The sequence below is a fragment of the Homo sapiens genome, chromosome 6 (genome assembly GCF_000001405.40).
Source record: "Homo sapiens chromosome 6, GRCh38.p14 Primary Assembly".
Classification (NCBI taxonomy): domain Eukaryota; kingdom Metazoa; phylum Chordata; class Mammalia; order Primates; family Hominidae; genus Homo; species Homo sapiens.
In genome coordinates, this window is record NC_000006.12 from 156,566,655 (window position 1) to 156,585,723 (window position 19,069).

At 41.2% G+C, this 19,069-nt stretch overlaps 1 annotated feature.

Moving 5' to 3' along the window:
• Nucleotides 15,929-16,078: an enhancer, noted in NCBI's record as "active region_25311". NCBI's record gives its function as "activates an Ori minimal core promoter by ATAC-STARR-seq in GM12878 lymphoblastoid cells {active_cell/tissue: GM12878}" and the evidence as "EXISTENCE:reporter gene assay evidence [ECO:0000049][PMID:35858748]".

Consider the following 19,069-nt stretch of genomic DNA (forward strand, 5'->3'; position numbering starts at 1 on the left):
ATACAGAATTTTGAGCGTAGTAATTTCCTGGTATGTTGTGAACGAAATGGAGAAATAGTTTATTGGATGGCGTTCAGGTGGGAAAACATAATACTGTGATTTTTACTATAACACTTTCCCCAAGCACTTCCACACTTCCCTTCGTGTTTCAGAGATACCTGACATTCCCCGAGATTTGAATCTCGGTCCAATAGCTCCAATAGTGTGTTAAAGGGCATCACTTGGAGAAGGGCGAGTGTTGCCAAGATTCCAGCCAAAATGTGTTTCAAAATCACATGGGGTGTTTTCTGAAACCGTATTTACTATAGAAATACTAGGAGAAACAAAAAGAAAGAAAGAAAGCCTGGATCCATCCTGCTTTGTATTCTAAATACTGAATTTTCTTGAACTCTAAGAATTTACATAAGATGAAGCAACACTCAGAAAAGGTTGGCTGATCCTAAAAGGATTAAAAATCCTGTCTCAGTGGTCCAAGAGCCCTTTGTAATTTCAGCTGCTCATCGTCCTTGACTATATTTGCCAGTTTTCTGATATGAAAATGCTGGAGGTGTTCAGCACCGTGCCTCAGTTTGGGAGGTCTGCAGACACAGTGGCGGGAAGAGATGCTGTCTGATTTTTACACTTTGATTGCCTCGGCTCCCACCCACCGTGTTACCAAGGAAAAGGAGGCGTATTATCTAGTTTGTGGTTAAGCAGGAACACTTGTATCAATAAATGAGAAATATAAAGGAAGAGTGATTTCCCTTCTATTAAATAACCTAAGACAAAAAAAATAGGAAAAAGTTGTTACCCATCAACAATGTTTAAATATCTATGTATTCTAAGAATGAGAAAATGGGGTCAGGCACAGTGGCTCACTCCTGTAATCCCAGCACTTTGGGGGGCCGAGGTGGGCAGATCACGAGGTCAGGAGTTCAAGACCAGCCTGGCCAACATGATGAAACCCCATCTTTAATAAAACTACAAAAATTAGCTGGGCGTGTTGGTGTGCGCCTGTAGTCCCAGCTATTTGGGGAGCTGAGGCAGAAGAATCACTTGAACCCAGGAGGCAGAGGTTGCAGTGAGCCGAAATCACACCACTGCACTCCAAACTGGGTGACAGAGCAAAACTCCATCTCAAAAAAAAAAAGAATGATAAAATGATAACACAAAGGTTATTTCCACTAAGAAAGTCACTCTGAAGGATGGGTGTGGTGGCTCATGCCTGGAATCCCAGCACTTTGGGAGGCCGAGGTGGGAGTATCTCTTGAGCCCAGGAGTTCCAGACCAGCCTAGGCAACATGGCAAGACCCCATATCTACAAAAAATATAAAAATTAGCTTGGCATTTTGGTACATGCCTGCAGTCCCTGCTACCCACTACTCAGGTGGCTGAGGTGGGAGGATCACTTGAGCCCATGTGGTTGAGGCTGTAATGAATCCAGATCATGCCACCGCTCTACAGGCTGGGCAACAGAGTGAGACCCTGTCTCAAAAGGAAAAAAAAAAAAGTCACTCTCAGTATAACTTTTAGGTAATATTCTAAAAGAAATTGGAAAAAAAAATTTCCTACAAATAATCTAGTAAATAACCAACTACTTACTTAACATGGTAAAACCACATGGATGGTTCCAAGGTATCTCAAACTGAACATACTCAAAACCAAATTCATGATATTCTTCTGTCAAACATGCTCATTCCCAGTGTTCCATTTATCAATGCCCTCATTCACCCAGCTACATAAGGCAAAAATTTGGGGGGGGGGTCATCCTTGACATTCACTCTCCCTCACCCACAAAGTGGTCACCAAGATTATTCTTTTTGCCTTCAAATTCTTTCTCCGACCTACTTTCTGCATCTCCACCCTCCCACTACCATCTCCTCACCTGGAGCATTACCTGAGCCTCTTCTTGCCTCACTTATTTACTCTTGCACCCACTTGGGTCCAATCACTACACCTTTCAGAACAGATCTAATTCTGTTACCATCAGTCCAATCGCTGCACCTTTCAGAACAGATCTAATTCTGTTACCATCAGTCCAACCGCTGCACCTTTCAGAACAGATCTAATTCTGTTACCATCAGTCCAATCGCTGCACCTTTCAGAACAGATTTGATTCTGTTACCATCAGTCCAATCACTACACCTTTCAGAACAGATCTGATTCCATTACCAGCAATCCTGTGCACATGTAAAACCTTCAAGAGCCCACAGGAAGGGGCCCTAATCCTAATTATTGCTGCCCCTCTCTATCTGCCCATCCCTGCAGGCTCCTGGCTGAGGTTTTGCCATGGGATTTTCTTTAACCCAAGGATGTGATCAGAGGTGGCACATGCCTCTTCTCCCTCTGCCACGAGATGGGCATGACCCAAATTCAAGCTGCTTCTTTAGCCTGGGTCCCACAGTGAACAGGGTCCATGGAGCACAGCTGCAGCTGGCCCAGAGTCAAGACGGAACACAAGTGAGAAATCAACCTTTGTTACTGAGCCATGGAGATCTCTGCATCTGTTTGTTACACAGCATTACCTAATGAGTGCTAACTAATACACAGGGTTTCTCACTACTGTTAGATTAAAATCCAAAATCCATAACTTGGCTTCAAAACCCTGCTTCCATTTCTTTAAGTTAAGCTTGCTTCCTCACACCAGCCCTGTGTTCACCCTCTTCAGAGCCCCACTCCCCTCTCGGTTGTGTTGGCAATGACCAGTTTCCACTTCAGTTTAGAAGTCACTTCTGCAAGGAAGAGGGTCCCTTACCCTCTGTCAATCCACCACATACTGCTCCTTCCGAGAATGTATCAGATTTGTCATTTGATATTTATTTTCTTGTTGGATTGCTATCTCTACCTCTTCTTGAGGCATTAATAACCACGAAAATTTCTTTGCTTATTTGTTTAGTGTCTGTCCCTCCTCCAGCCTCCACACACTCTCAAAATCTCAGAAGAACAGATACTTTCTGGTTTTGCTAACCATTGAACTCAAAGGCTAGCTAATTGCCTGGCACATAGTAAGTGTTCAATACGTTTCTATGAATGAATGAATGATTCATAGAGGACCAAACACTATAGTTTAAAATATATTCTAAAATGTAAACATAATAATTATTAAAGCATTTGCTGAATTGAGTAACATGATTAAATGCTTGTATTTAAGAGCAGTAACGAGATTACAGTAATCTAGATGTCTGTCTTCTCCCATATCCACATCATTCCTGCCTCTGAAGTGCTGATTATAAGTAACACCCTACTCCCGTGTCACGTGGCCTGACAGCAGTGCTTCTCAAACCCCAGCCTGCCTCAGAATCAGCTGGAGGGCTCGTTAGACACGTACAATGCTGGTCCCACCCCCAGAATGTCCGATTCCGTACTATGAGGTAGGACTCAAGAATGCACATTTCTAACAAGTTGTAGGGGGTCCAATGCTGCTGGTCTAGGGACCACCCTAGGAAAGCCACTGCCTTAGAACTTACAAAGCACTTTCACTGGGAGAGGTGGGAAGAGAAGAGAAGCAACTTCTGTGCCCCAGAAACTTCCCGTTGGTTATCGCAAAGATTCCAGAAGCAACCAGAGACTCCGACTGAGACATTCCACAAACCATGCAGGAGCCACTTCCATCCAACAAGTCGGAACCTCTACTCCAAAATGTCCATTCTTAAGCATGCCATGTTTTCACAAAGGAGAAACAGACACATCAGAAACCACAACCCAATGTTTCCTTTACACATCTGTATATTATAAAATGTCAGGTTTGCTCAGCAGGAGAGCGAAGGGGAAGTGGGACCCTCGCTTCCAATTGAGTAGAGGTTAAATTCGCCTGTGCTCAGGAATGAGATTTGAGCATGAAGCGAACCTGTCGGGGAGCGGCCCCCACAAACACTGAGGCTCAGAAAAGCCTCGTCCCCACCCGCTCCTCCCTGAGTAGAGGCAGGAGTCTGAGAAATACCACCCAGGCTGTGCAACTCTTAGTCACTCTAAGAATATATTGATTTGGTCCCGTACATGCTTCATTTACTCATCTGCTGCTATTCCTTGCCCTTCAGTCCTTGTCCTGATTATTTTTATGCACAATCAGAGAAATGTCTTTCCTTGAGCCCCAAACCCCTTTTATTTTCCTGAATCTGGAAAACCTGGTGTGACCAGCACATTCCAGGCACCCGGCCCACCCTGTCTCACCTCGTCAGTGTGCTGCCTGATGCCTCTATTGGACATCCCACACAAAGAACAAGATGTCCAGACTCCCCAGGAAAAGGTGGGGACAGGGCAGAGGAACTTGTTGATTCCACCCTAATCAAACCCCATTTCAAACCCTGAAATGAACGTTTCTCACTTAATCCCAATTCTTCACACTTGTCTTAGGATGTGATTTAACATGAAATGTGAAATATTTGCTTTGTGGCACTCGGGTCTGGTCTGCACACCGATTCCACGGTGCTAATCCCCTCGGAGTGCTGCAATTTAAGACCGGAGCTGGCAGGAAGCGCCTCACTCTCTGTGGAGCTACAGCAGCCTGTCTGTGAAACCTACTCAGGAGAGAAACCAGGGAAAGGGAGCGAGCAGGAAAGCAACTATGTCTAAACTGCCCCCAGGGGAGCCCTGTGCGCCTCTGACCCTCACAGCTCCATAGCACTCAAGGACCAAAAGCAGGCCACCAAGTTTACCATATGTCCTCTTTGAGAGGTACAAAATACAGCACTGTACACTCTTTTCCATCTTTCTCTCATTTTTCTGAGAGGAAGCAGTGGTTAAGAATGCAAGTTTTGGGGCCAGGCACAGTGGCTCACACCTGTAATCCCAGCACTTTGGGAGGCCGAGGTGGGCAGATCACCTGAGGTCAGGAGTTTGAGACCAGCCTGGCCAACATGGCAAAACCCCATCACTACTAAAAGATAAAAATTAGCCGGGTGCGGTGGCGCATACCTGTTGTCCCAGCTACTCGGAAGGCTGAGGCAGGAGAATCGCTTGAACCTGGGAGGTGGATGTTGCGGTGAGCCAAGATCACACCACTGCACCCCAGACTGGGCAATGCAACAACTCTGTCTCAAAAAAAAAAAAAATGCAAGTTTTGGAGTTCTATATTAAGTTCAAATTCTGAATCTGCCACATTCTATACCTTGGACAAATCATTTTAAACTTTCAGCAGATTTAGTTTCCTCCTCTGGAAATTGGGATGGTAGCAGCAACTATTCCATAATGATTTTATAAAAATTAAATGGGGTAATTTGTGTGAAACACCCAGGATAGTGATGGTAAATAGAAAGAGACCAATCCAAGGTAGTTGCTAAAACTATTTTATTGCTATTATCACTAAGAGTGCTTATAAAGAGGAAACCAGGTGGTTGTGGTTGTTATAAAAGATGTCGCTGATGCTTTGGCTCTCCTGGGTACCATGTTTTTGCATTGTTTAGGTGACTCTTGGATGTCTCCACATCTGTATTTCACTGGAGTTGTCTTATGTAGACCTATGCACAGCAGAAGTAATGTATATTTGTGGTTGTGGCTATTAGAAAAGCCAACTAACATTATATTCATTTTACAGGCAGAAAAAAATAGGAAAAGATTCCATCTCTTGTGCATGGCAAACCAACATGAAAAATGAAATCCCAGCTTCATAATTCACCATATACTGGTCCCAGAGGTGGGCCTGTTAGTGATGCTTTGGAGGAGCTCCCAAAGAGAAACCCCACGACAGTGGCAGCAGCAGGAACAGCAGTGGTCTTCTCATTAGTTCGGGTGATGATTTGCCAGGGAACACGGAGGCTAACACATGCTACTCTAGTGAGATACTGACGGTGTGACCCTCTGTTCAGTGTGTACCCCAATGCCATATGCTGCAAAATCAAGGCAGATCTGAGAACATGTTACTGCTGGGACCAGGGATATGGGTTCGACACCACTGCTCACACCATGCCAGGGGACTCGATTCAAATGCTCTGGGACACAATACACTGTGACTGATGCTCCCTGTCATTACACAAACTGTATGCTGAAGAAAAAAAAAAAGAAGAGAAATTACTTCATTCCTGCTCTCTCCCAACCATCCACGTGAGAGGCTAGAACCTAAAGAAAAAAAACAAATTCATGATCCCTGGAAGCAGGAATAGTCAAGGGATTTTCATGAACAAGAACGGCTGATATTCCATTATTAAACCATTTGTGATACTCAACGGTGATGCTGCTCCACTCGGCGACACCAGACCTACATCCATCCGTGTGTTGACAGTGCCTTGTTCTACGGAGGGATTAGGGCATGGTGTGCTGGGAAATGTTCAACACTTTGCTGCCTGGGAATAAAAGTCTTGATTTCCCAATTTCCATGGTGTAAATACTGCCACTATGGTCATTTCCAAGTTACCAATGTGATTTGAATGCAGAGTTGGGAAGGGGAACACATCTTTTAGGGTTATGGCTCCCAAGGACATGGGGACGACAGGGAGAAAACACAACACGGAAGTCAAATAAATAAGAATTCAACAAAATTAAAATCTGAAGAGGTATAACTAGGGAAAATGGAAATCACTTGTAAGAATCCCTCCATATATTTGCAATGATGCTGATTTTTCTACTGTGCATAGGCCTACACAAGTCAACCCCAGTGAACTACAGATGTGGTGATATCCAAGAGTCACCTAAACAATGCAAAGACATGGTACCCAGGAGAGCCAAAGCATCAGCAAAATCTCAGCCAAAGCACACAAGCGACTACTGAGAAGAGGGGTCTAAAACATTTTTCTTACTTATGAAACAAACAAACAAAAAAAAACTATGAGAAAGTCGAAAGGTATGAGATTTTCTGAATTTAAGATTGGAGCATACTTATCCAAATTCTATTCATCTCTTTTTGAAACTTTGTCACTCACTCCCCAGGCTTCCAATTGCTCATGCCTCAGTTTCTTCCTCTATGAAATGGGTGTGCTAATCATGAATTTCCTATCCCACAGCATGATACAACTACCGTTTTATTTTTTTACTGATACATAATATTTGTACATATTTATGGGGTACATGTGATATTTTCTTGCATGCACAGAACGCACAAGGATCAAGTCAGGGTATTTAGGATATCTACCGCCTCAAGCATTTATCGTTTCTATGTATTAGGAACATTTCAAATCCTTTCTTCTAGCTACTTTGAAATACGCAATACATTATTGTTAACTGTAGTCACTTTACTCGGCTATCAAATATTAAGAATGTATTCTTTCTATCAAACTGTATGTTTGTACCCATTGACCAATCTATCTTCATCCTCCCACCAACCACACACCCTTCCCAGACTCTGGAATCTATCACTCTACTCACCACCCCCATGAGAACAGCTTTTTTAGCCTCCACATATGAGTGAGAACATGTGATATTTGTTTTCTGTGTCTGGCTTAACATAATGACCTTAACATAATGACCTTCACTTAATGTAATGACCTCCAAGTCCATCCATGTTGCTACAAATGACATTCTTTTATTCTTTTTTGAGGACAAATAGTATTCTATTGTGTCTATATATACATTTTCTTTACCCATTCATCTGTTGCTGGTTATGTAGGTAGATTCCATATCTTGGCTCTTATGAATAGTGCTGCAATAAACATGGGGGTGCAGGTGTCCCTCTGATATACCAGGTTCCTTTCCTTTGGATTAAAACTCAGTAGTGTGACTGCTGGATTGTATGGTAGTTCTATTTTTAGTTTTCTGAGAAATCTCCATACTGTTTTCCATGGTGGCTGTACTAATTTACATTCCCACCAATATCATCTTGAACACCCTCCTAACTACCTTTTAAAATGAATACCAAACCACAGAAAGTTCACTGAGGGCATTTTTTCACTCACACCTTAGATTGCAAGAGCTTGGAATTCAGAAATGCTCACCTTTCAGAACTATAACTTCTAGACTCCCTAAAACTAAATATCAGCAAACAAAACCTGAAAATCAATTTTTAAAGAATGTCACTTGAGAGTAACCTGGACAAAATCTGAGAAACCTCTGTTCAAAGGTATCAGAGAACCACCAAGACAGAAAAGACTTGAAATGCCAAGATCCTTCTAGAGAAAGGAAGTCACTGGCGTCACTCTTTCCCTGTAGGCACTTCTATTTAAAAGTAACAGCAGAGAGGCTAAGAAGCTGAGCAAAGATTTCAGGCATCTCACAGAGCTGAGGAGGCAAAGATTGGAATATAGCACTCACCAAGAAAGAGAGTCCTACTAAACATCTGATGCTTTTAGTTGGGACCCCTCAAAAGTTACTCCTAGGAAAATATATGCCTTTCTATATAGGAGTATATGGAGATATATAAACCCCTAGAAATACTGGAGATGAACTTGAATCAACTCAACATCTGATTAAAGTGATCAATTCCTATACTTACTACCTACCAAAAGCAAAAATAAATTTTGAGAGGAAAATAAAATAATCTCAATAATTTTATACAAATTGAAACTTAATCAAAATAATAATTTGATCAAAAGTAACTAGGCAAAGCCAGGCATGGTGGCATGCATTGGTAGTCCCAGCTACTGGGGAGGCTAAGGCAGGAGGATCACTTATGCCTAGGAGTTAAAAACCAGCCTGCAAAACATAGCCAAAAAACTATCTTTAAACAAATAAATAGGCAAATTGATAAAAAGACAAGAGTGTGCCAAAAAGCAAAAGAAACAAAAAGAAATAGAAGACACAAGAGATCAAGATATAGTATTAGAATTATATGACATAGATGTGAAAAAAACATGTTCAAGAAAATAAATGATAAACATATTCAAGAAAATAAATGAGAATATGGTCAATTTCAGTTGAGAACTATAAATTACTTAAAAAGAATAAAAGGAAATTTTTGGACAGAAAAAAATTAATCACAATTAAGAACTCAATGTGTTTAATAGCAGATTCAAAATGATAAAGGAGAGATTTAGTCAAATGGAAGGTAGTTAATAAGAAAATATATAAACTGAAGGACAGAAAACCAAAAGAATGCAAAGTACAAAATAGAGTATAAGATATATGGAACAGCCAGAAAATGTGTCATATTTGCACTTGGAGTCTCAGAAAGAGAAGAATGAGATAATCAGGTGAGAGATGAATTTGTATCATGCAAACTTGGCCAAGCTGGTATTACTTTTGTTAGACTTTTCTTCCCTGAATAGCATGGATTCATGTGGGTTACAAGAGATGTTTTGTGCTAGCTTCAGAAAACAGAAGTGAGGTAGCAGTCATACTCCCTTCCACTCAGAAGGTCATAGCAAAGCACAGGGCGCTATTGCCACTCACATACCTCATCATTTACCTGTGGACTGAAATCCTGTCAGATTTCCCCCTTCCAGTAGAGGAGATGGAGCAAGATGGCTGAACAGAACCCTCCAGCAATCATCCCCTGGCCAAAACACAAAATTGAACAACCATCAGGGCAAGAAAGCACCCTCAGAAGAACAAAAAAATCAGGTGAATGAAGCATTGAAGAGGGTAAGAAAGACAGTCCTGCATTGCCTACACCACCCCTCCACCAACCCCAGGAAGCACAGCACAGAGAGGAAATCTGTATCCTCGGAGTGGGGAGAGTGAAGTGAGTGTGGGACTTCACATCGGAACTCAGTGCTGTCCTGTCACAGTGGAACATAAAACGGGACAGAATTCTGCTGATGACTATGGATGGAGCATTCAGACCAGTCCAGGGCGAGAGAGGAATTCTCCACCCCAGTGGGGGGAAACTGAGTCCTAGCTGGTTCCACCACCAGCTGACTAACGTGGCCTGAAGCTTGGAATAAATATGACTGGCAGTCAGGCCACAAGGACTGCAGTCTTTGGGCAAGCCCTGGTGCCGCACTGGTCTCAGAGGCAGTAGATTTGTGGTGCAACCAAGTGTGACACCGCCTATGGTGGCCAAGGGAGGGCCTATGTCACCCCTCCCCCAACTCTGGGCAGACATTCAGAGACAGACTCCTTCTGATTCAAGGAAAGAGAGGAAAGAGAGTGAGAGACATTGCCTGATAACCCCAGGAATTCTCCCTTCTTTTCCCCAAGAGTCCATTTTTGAAAGCAGCAGAACAACATCAAATGCTGGCAAAGATGTAGAGCAACAGAAACTCTCATTTGTGAGTGGTGGGAATGCGAGATGGCACAATACTTTGGAGGACACTTTGGCAGTTTCTTATAAAATTAAACATACTCTTACCATGTGATCCAATAATCAGCCCCCTTGATATTTACCCAAGTGATTGAAAACTTATATGCACATAAAAACTTTCACACAAATGTTTATTGCAGCTTATTCATAACTGCTAAAACTTGGAAGCAACCAAAATGTCCTTCAGTAAGTGAATGAATAAATTGTGGTACATCCAGATAATAGAATATTATCAGCACTAAAAAGAAATGTGTTATCAAGCCGTGAAAAGACATGGAAGAATCTTAAATGCACGTTACTGAGTGAAAGAAGCCAATTTGAAAAGACCACATACTGTATGATTCCAACTATTTGACATCCTGGCAAAGGAAAAATGATGGAGATAGTAAAAAAATCAGTGGTTGCCAGAGGCTAGCAGGGAGGGAGGCCTGAATAGGCACAGCAGAGAGGATTTTTAGAGCAATGAAACAGTTCTTTATATCATACTGTAATGGTGGACACATGGCATCATATATTTGTCAAAACCCATAGAATATACACCACCAAGAGTCAACCCTAATGTAAACTATGGACTTTGGGTGACAATGATGTACCAATGCAGGTTTATCAATTCTAACAAATGCACTACTCTGAAGTAGGATGTTGATAGTGAAGGAGACTGTGTGTGATGGGGGGAAAGGGTATATGGGAATTCTGTATATTTTTTTTTAGACAAGATCTCATTCTGCTGCCCAGGCTAGAGTGCAGTGGCATGATCACGGTTCACTGTAGTCTCTACCTCTACCTCCTGGGCTCAAGTAATCCTACCGCCTCAGCCTCCTGAGTATCTGGGACCACAGGCACACGCCACCATGCCTGGCTAATATTTTGTATTTTTTTGTACAAGCAGGGTTTCACCATATTGGCCAGGCTGGTCTTGAACTCCTGGGCTCAAGCAACCCTCCCACATCAGCATCCCAAAATGCTGGGATTACAGATGTGAGCCACCATGCTCAGCCTCAATTTTTCTATGAATTTAAAACTGTTTTTAAAAATAAAACCAGTTTTTAAAGCAGCAAGGGGAAAAAAGCATATTACCATCAAAGGAGCAACAGTAAGACTGACAATATACTTTTCAATAACATAGTGGAAACCAATAGACAACAAAATCACATAAAAGGGCCAAAATAATGTAACTCCCGAACTTTAGAATTATATTTGAATTTTATACCCAGCAAAACTACCCATATAAAAATGAAAGCAAGCTGCTTGGGGACATAAAGAGCTGAAAACAGCATTGCTCCCACACTAATATGAAAAAGCTAGACAATCTGAAAGTTCATTACTTTCTAAAAACTATCAGAGAACTCAGGTTTCAGAGAAATCAAATGGCCCCAAATCTAAAGAGATATAAATCTAAGACCTTCAGGGAAAGATGAGATATGAGCACTGGTTTCCCCGAGGTGGACACAAGTGTATGCTTGTAAGAGCAGTTCAGCTAACATAGTTAGTAAATTGCTGAAAGCTGAGCATGCACTGGCAAGTGTGTGAAGCCCCTATGAGTCAAAGAAATTGGAGAATATTGACCGGGTGTGGTGGCTCAGACCTGTAATCCCAGTACTTTGGGAGGCCAAAGTGGGCAGATCACTTGAGGCCAGGGGTTCAAGAACAGCCTGGCCAACATGGTGAAACGCCATCTCAACTAAAACTATAAAAATTAGCCAGATGTGGTGGAGCATGCCTGTAATCCCAGCTACTCGGGAGACTGAGGCAGGAGAATCGCTTGAACCCAGGAGGCAGAGGCTGCAGTGATCTGAGATCACGCCACTGCACTCCAGCCTTGGCAACAGAGTGAGACTCCATCTCAAAAAAGAAAAAAAAAAGAAATTGGAGAATCTGTCCCTTCTTCAGGCTTTTTTTCCAGGGACCCCACTGGGAGCTCACAAAAATTGAAAAGGGCCCTATGAAAGTGTTCTCTGAGGTGTAAAACAGGAGAAAAGAAGAGCAAACACAATGGGAGGGGTGCAAAATCCATCCACAGTCTTCTCTTCTATCACCTGTCTGAAATAAATCCTTAATCTGTGCAGGGAAGGGCAACAAACACTATTTTCCTTAGGGCACCAGTGAAAATACATTGCAGCTGGTGGAAGAGAACCAGAAAAAAAAAATACCCTATCACTATGAGGAGAGAGGGGAGTAAGAAATATGTGCTGGGTCCAGCACTACAGCCAGCAGAGGAGCAGGGTCATTGAGTCTTAGGAACATAGTGCCCATCTAAGACTGAGGTTCAATCAGAACAACAGAGAATATTCCCCCCCATTATCCCACTACTACAAGGCTAACTAGCATTGAATAACAGGTGAGAGTGTAGAACTCCTGGGACAGGGAGAGAAGAGGGACAAGAGCATATAAACAGACTTTTTCTGAAAAAAGAAAAAGAGGAAGAAGAAGACTTAAAAATGAGCATGGAACACACATTGAAGGAAAAACCCTCTGGCAAATCTGCCCCTTCTCTAAACAGTAGGTGTCATTAGAGAAATTTAAGGATTGTGATGCACTGAAGTTAACCATAGCAACAACATACCTCAGTCCAACCTCATCCCTAACTAGCTTATTTCACATCCCAGCACAAAGGCCCAGCAGGAACCAAAAGTGTGCTCATCCCAGCCTGCAAAATGATTGACCCTAGTTTACTGCATATATGAGATACCTGGCTTTCAGCAAAAAGTGAAGAAGCATGTGAAAAGGCAAGAATATAATAACACTGTTGAAGAGGCAAGGCACTCATCAGAACCAGACTCAACTGTGATGGGGATGTTTGAACTACCTAATAGAAAATTTTAAATAACTGTGATTAATATTTTAAAAGCTCTAATGGAGAAGGTAGACAACAGGCAAGATCAGATGGGCAATTTCAGCAGAGAGACTGAAACTCTAAGAAAGAATTAAAAGCAAATGCTAGAAATTTTTTTTAAATGACAGCAACAGCAACAACAAAAAGTAGCAGAGATGAAGAAAGTCTTTGATGACCTCATCAGTAGATTTGACCCAGCTAAGGAGTGAAGCAGTGATGCTGGTTCATAGGAATTACCCAAACTGAAAACAAAAAGAAAAATGAGGACACACACACACACATATATATACATACACACCCTTCACATATATTTAAACTGCTGAAAACAAAAGACAATGAGAAAACCTCAAAGGCAGCCAGAGAAATAAGACACATTATATATAGGAAAACAAAGTAAGAATTAAACAGCCTTCACATCAGAATTCACACAAGCTAAAAGATAATGGAGTGACATCTCTTAAGTGATAAGTATAAAAACAAAGACAGATGGAACGAATAGAAAATGGCTAACAAGATAGATTTTAATACAGATATATCAGTGATCGCATTAAATGTGAACAGTTCAACCACACCAGTTAAAAGACAAAATTGACAAATTGGATAAAAAAGCAAGACCTGTCCACATTATATCTACAACAAACTTCCTTTAAGCAAAAATACAAAAATAGTTTCTTAGAAAATGAAAAAAAAAAAGATAGACAAACACTAATGAAAAGAGAGTTGGAGTAGCTATATCAATATCAAAGTAGACTTCAGAACAAGGAATATTATTAAGAATAAAGAAGAACTTTATTTAATGATAAATAAGTCCATAGTCCAAGATGACAAAACTGCCCTAAATTGACCTAACAACAGAGCTTCAAATTACATGAATTACAACAAAACACAATGAAACTGAAAGAAGAAACAGACCAATCTACAATTATAGTTGGAGACTTCAATATTCCTCTCTCAGGAATCAACAGAACAAGTAAACAGAAAATCAGTAAGAATATAGGGCTGATCAACGCTATTGATCAAATTGACCTAAAGCAGAATACACGTTGTTTACAAGTGTACATTCCTTAAGAGAGACCATATTCAGACCATAAAACAAACCTTAACAAATTTAAAAGAATAGGAATCATACAAAGTATATTCTCAGACCATAATGGAATTAAACTAGAAATCAGTAACAGAAAGATTTCTGTTAAACTCCAAAATATTTGGAAATAAACAACACATTTCTACATTACCCATGAGTCAAAGAGGAAGTGTTAAAGGAAATAAGAAAATATTTTGAACTGAATGAAAACAAAATTACAGTATATCAAAATTTGTTGGAAGCAACTAAAGCATTGTTTAGAGAGAAGTTTGTAGCATTAAATGCTTATATGAGGGAAGAAGAAAGGTTTTCAATCAATACTCTAAGTTTTCATTTTGTGAAACTAGAGAAGAAAAGCAAATTCAACCCAACATAAGCAGAAGAAAGGAAATAATTAAGAGCAGAAATCAATAAAATTGCAAACCAAAGAAATGAAAGCATGAGAAAGACATTTTCAAACAGAATCTGACAAAATTCATTACCACAGCCCCACATTTTCTTAAAGGAAATGACTAAAACAAGTTCTTCGGATAGAAGCAAAATGATTCTGCATGAAAACAGAGATATAGAGTATTAGTTCCCACTTGCCGCTGTAATAAATGGCCACAAACATCATAATTTAAAACAATGTGCGTGTATTATCTTACGGCTCTGGAGATTGGAAGTCTGACATGGTTCTCACTGAGCTTTAAAATCTGTGTCCACGGTGCTGCATTCCCTTCTGGAGACTCCAGGGGATAGTCTGTTTCTTGACTTTGCTGGGTCTAGAGGTCTCCTGTGTTCCTTGGATCAAGGTCCTGTCCGCCATCCTTAAAGCCAGCAATGTCGGGCTGAGGCCTTCTCACACTGCCATCTCTCCTTCTCCTCTCCTGCCTCCCTCTTACACAGTTAAGTCTCCTAGTGATGATTAATTGGGCCGGCCCAGGATAATCCCTCGAACTGATGAGCAGCCTTAGTTCCTCCTGGAACCTTTATTCCCCCTAACATATTCACAGTTTCCAGAGATTAGAATGAGACGTCTTTGTGGGGGCCATTGTTCTGTCTACCACACACAGAAAGAAACGAAGAACAAGAGAAAGGATGGCTACACGGGTAAATCTAAAAGAATACTGGTTGTCAATAATGACTGATATTTTGTGAGGTCTTATATATATTTAGAATTAAATCCTGCACAAAAGGCAGGATTGAAGGTAAATAGAGTCAAACTTTTTGGGGTCTGTGCATTGTCCAGGAATAGACAGATGTGCAACTTTATATTCAATTTTAATAAGGTAGTGCTATTGTCATCTCTTGGTCCTTGGATAACCAGTAAAGGAAGGTATAACTTAACAGCTGATAGAGATGGGACATGGAATAATATTTTCGTTTCTTGTTTTCTCTGTCACCCAGGCTGGAGTGCAGTTGCATGATCATAGCCCACTGCAGCCTCAAACTCCTGGCCTCAAGCGATCTTCCCACTTCAACCTCCAGAGTTGCTGGACTACAGGTATGTGCCACCACACCCAGCTGCTTTTTTTTTTTTTTTAATAGAGATGGGTATCACTGCATTATCCAGGCTGGTCTCGAACTCCTGGGCTCAAGCGATCCTCTCACCTTGGCCTCCCGAAGTGCTGGGATTACAGGCATAGGCCACTGCGCTCAGCCATGAATAATTTTTAAATACATAAATAATCCAAAAAATGGGCAAGCAAGGAGAAGAAAAGGAACATAAAACAAGTGAGATAAATAGAAAATAAATTTTAAGATGATAGATCTAAGTTCCAAGAGTGTCATTTGAGAAATCCATAGCTCAGAAATTTAAGGTAAGTTGCCTACAATCACAGGGCTTATGAGAGCAGACAGCAATTCTGAATCCCAGTCTCTCTTAACCAAAGCTCATTGTGCCCAAGCCCCAGCCGCCTCTAGGGTGCTCCCTGAGCTCCTCCACGGTCACCTGGGCTCTCCTGGTAATGGCCCCCCTTTGCTGCCAAGCCACCCACACCTCCTGGATCAGTTTCAGCTTGATGGGAAGTTCTTTGTTTCTATAACTGCATGTTGTGGTCATGTACAGGTGTGTCTGCTAAGATTTATGACCATAAGCAAACGTCTGTTGCTGAGCTCTTCTGTAGTGGCAGCTGAGGTGCTGCTTGGTGCAGCAGGGGAGCCCGGGGAACGCATCTCACAGAAGAGTAAATTACACACCTGAAGTGAAAGAACCGTTCCCAGGCACAGACAGATCCATTTTGCACTCAGAAGCATCCCACGCACAGCTGTGAATACTTGCATTAGTGCCAATTAATGTAAGGTGGTACCAACTCAGAGAGGCCCTGAATTTGCTCTAGGGGATAAAAATGGAGGTGGGGGAGGTGAGGAAGGAGAAAGGAAAAATAGAGTTTTCCCTGCTAAATGGAAACATCTCTAGGAGAGTCCAGCAGCTGGATGACTTGGTTAAGAAGGAGTGACCTGCCCACTTTCTTCAATTAGACATTTTACTTTCCCCAGCTAAACCACAACAACAAACAGAAAGACGGGGACAAGGAATGGTTTAGAAGCAGGATCACTGATGTTGCAGAAAGGAGCACCGTGAATCAGGACCTCTCACCACGCATGCCTCATGGGGTTCAGAGCATTTCAGCCCAAATGAAAATGAGGCAGCAGCTAAAAATTCCAACACTGCCTTCCCCTCCCACCCACATCCAGGCCCACGTGTGAGGCGAGGCAATTCAGGTATGGTATTACAAACAAGCCCCTCATAACTCTTCATTTTTAAAATCATAATATGTTGATTTTTATGTTTTTCAACAGTTTTCATACTCTGTCTGTAGCAGGACCTTCCCACCGCCTTGATACCCTTCACTGTGCTTCAATTTATTGTGTTTTTAGATGAAATTCATGACCATTGGTGCCTTCACCGCCACAGAAAATGAGACGTAAAGGAGTAGGCCACACCCACCTGAGCTTTCCCTCCCCTCACAACATCCTGGCCACTGGAGAGATTTGCTGTTCAATTCAACAACACATGTTGAAACCTATGCTGTCCCAGACTCTGCTGGGAGTTGAGACTGCGGAGATGACTAAGACCTGGCCCCCATCCTCAAGCAGCTCTCAGTGCAGGGACGGAGAAACACCTGTAAGCGGACTCTGCAGTGGTAAGGAAGGTACAACTCCCAGGGGGCTACCCCATTCAGAGACAGTCTCAGAGAATGCTGAGCACCAGCCCTGATCACCGCCAACAACTCATCCCTAGAGGTGAACACATTTTCCTATGAAAAAACAACTCATCCAAATGGGATCACATCAAGTTAAAAAGCTTCTCCACAGCAAAGGAAACAATGAACAAAGTGAAGAGACAACCCACACAATGGGAGAAAATGTTTGCAAATTATCCATCTGACCAGGGATTAATAACCAGAATATACAAGGAGCTCAAACAACTCTATAGGAAAATATCTAGTCATCCAATTTAAAAATTGGCAAAAGATCTGAATAGACATCTCCCAAAAGAAGACATACAAATGGCAAACGGGCACGTGAAAAGGTGCTCAACGTCACTGATCATCAGAGAAATGCAAATCACAACTACAATGAGATGTCATCTTACCGTTGTTAAAATGGCTTTTATCCAGAAGACAGGCAATAACAAATGCTGGTGAGATGTGGAGAAAAGGGAACCCTCCTACACTGTTGGTGGGAATGTAAATTAGTAGAGTCACTATGGAGAACTGTTTGGAGGTTCCTCAAAAAACTAAAAGTAGAGCTATCATATGATCCAGCAATCCCACTGCTGGATATATACCCAAAAGAAAGGAAATCAGTTTATCAAAGAGGTACCTGCACTCCCATGTTTATTGCAGCACTGTTCACAATAGCCAAGATCTGGAAGCAACCCAAGTGTCCATCAACAAATTAATGGATGAAGAAAATATAGTACATATACACAATGGAGTACTATTCAGCCATAGAAAAGAATGAGATTCTGTCTTTTGCAACATGGTGGAACTAGAGATCATTATGTTATGTGAAATAAAACAGGCACAGAAAGACAAACTTCTCGTGTTCTCACTTATTTGTGGGAGCTAAAAAAACAGTTGAATTCATGAAGATAGAGAGTAGAAAGATGGTTACCAGAGGCTGGGAAGGGTAATAAGGGGGTGAGGGGAAGGGAGGATGGTTAATGGGTACAAAAAAGTAGTTAGAATAACTTAGTAGATAGCATAACAGGATAACTAGAGTCAATAATAATTGTAGATTTTAAAATAACTAAGATGGCATAAATTGGATTGTTTGTAAAACAAAGGATAAATGCTTGAGGTGATCAATACCTCATTTATCCTGATGTGATGACACATTATACACCTGTATCAAAAATCTCATATGCTCAATAAATATATACCCCCAGTATGTTCCCACAAAAATTAAACATTAAAAAAAACAACTCATCTATTCCTCTTTATGCCTCCATCAGAAACCATTTCAAACAGCAACTAGAACTCTCACACACTGCCTGGGGGAAGACAAAATGGTACCACCAATTTGCAGAACTGTTCTGCAGTTTCTTAAAGGTAGATATACATTTACCACGTGGCCCAGCAATTCTCCTAGGTTTTTACCCAACAGAAATGAAAACTTATGGCCACACAAACATCTATAGTTAAGTGTTTATAGCAGCTGTGTTCATCGTAGCTCAAACTGGAAACAAGTCAAATGTTTAGCAATCATTGATAAGTCAGATTGTGGTACATTCATAAAATAAAATAATATTCATGTATGAAGAGAAGAAACTACTGATACACACAACATAGATGAAAAAAGACACATACACACACAATTTTGAGAAAAAAATTATTAAAGTGCATCAGCCTTTCTAGATTTGAAATATTTTTGGAATTCAAAAACTATATGAATATTTTAGAGTTTGTTCCTGAATGCTGAAACCAAGAAAGTTTTTTTTTTGGTAACAAGAATAGTAACAGAGTAATGACCAATAATGCAGGTAAATTCAATTGGATCATGGGCCAGCCCACGTTTACTTTATGATTGATGTTATTGATATTGTTTTTCTAAAAACTATGATAGGCTCACAAGC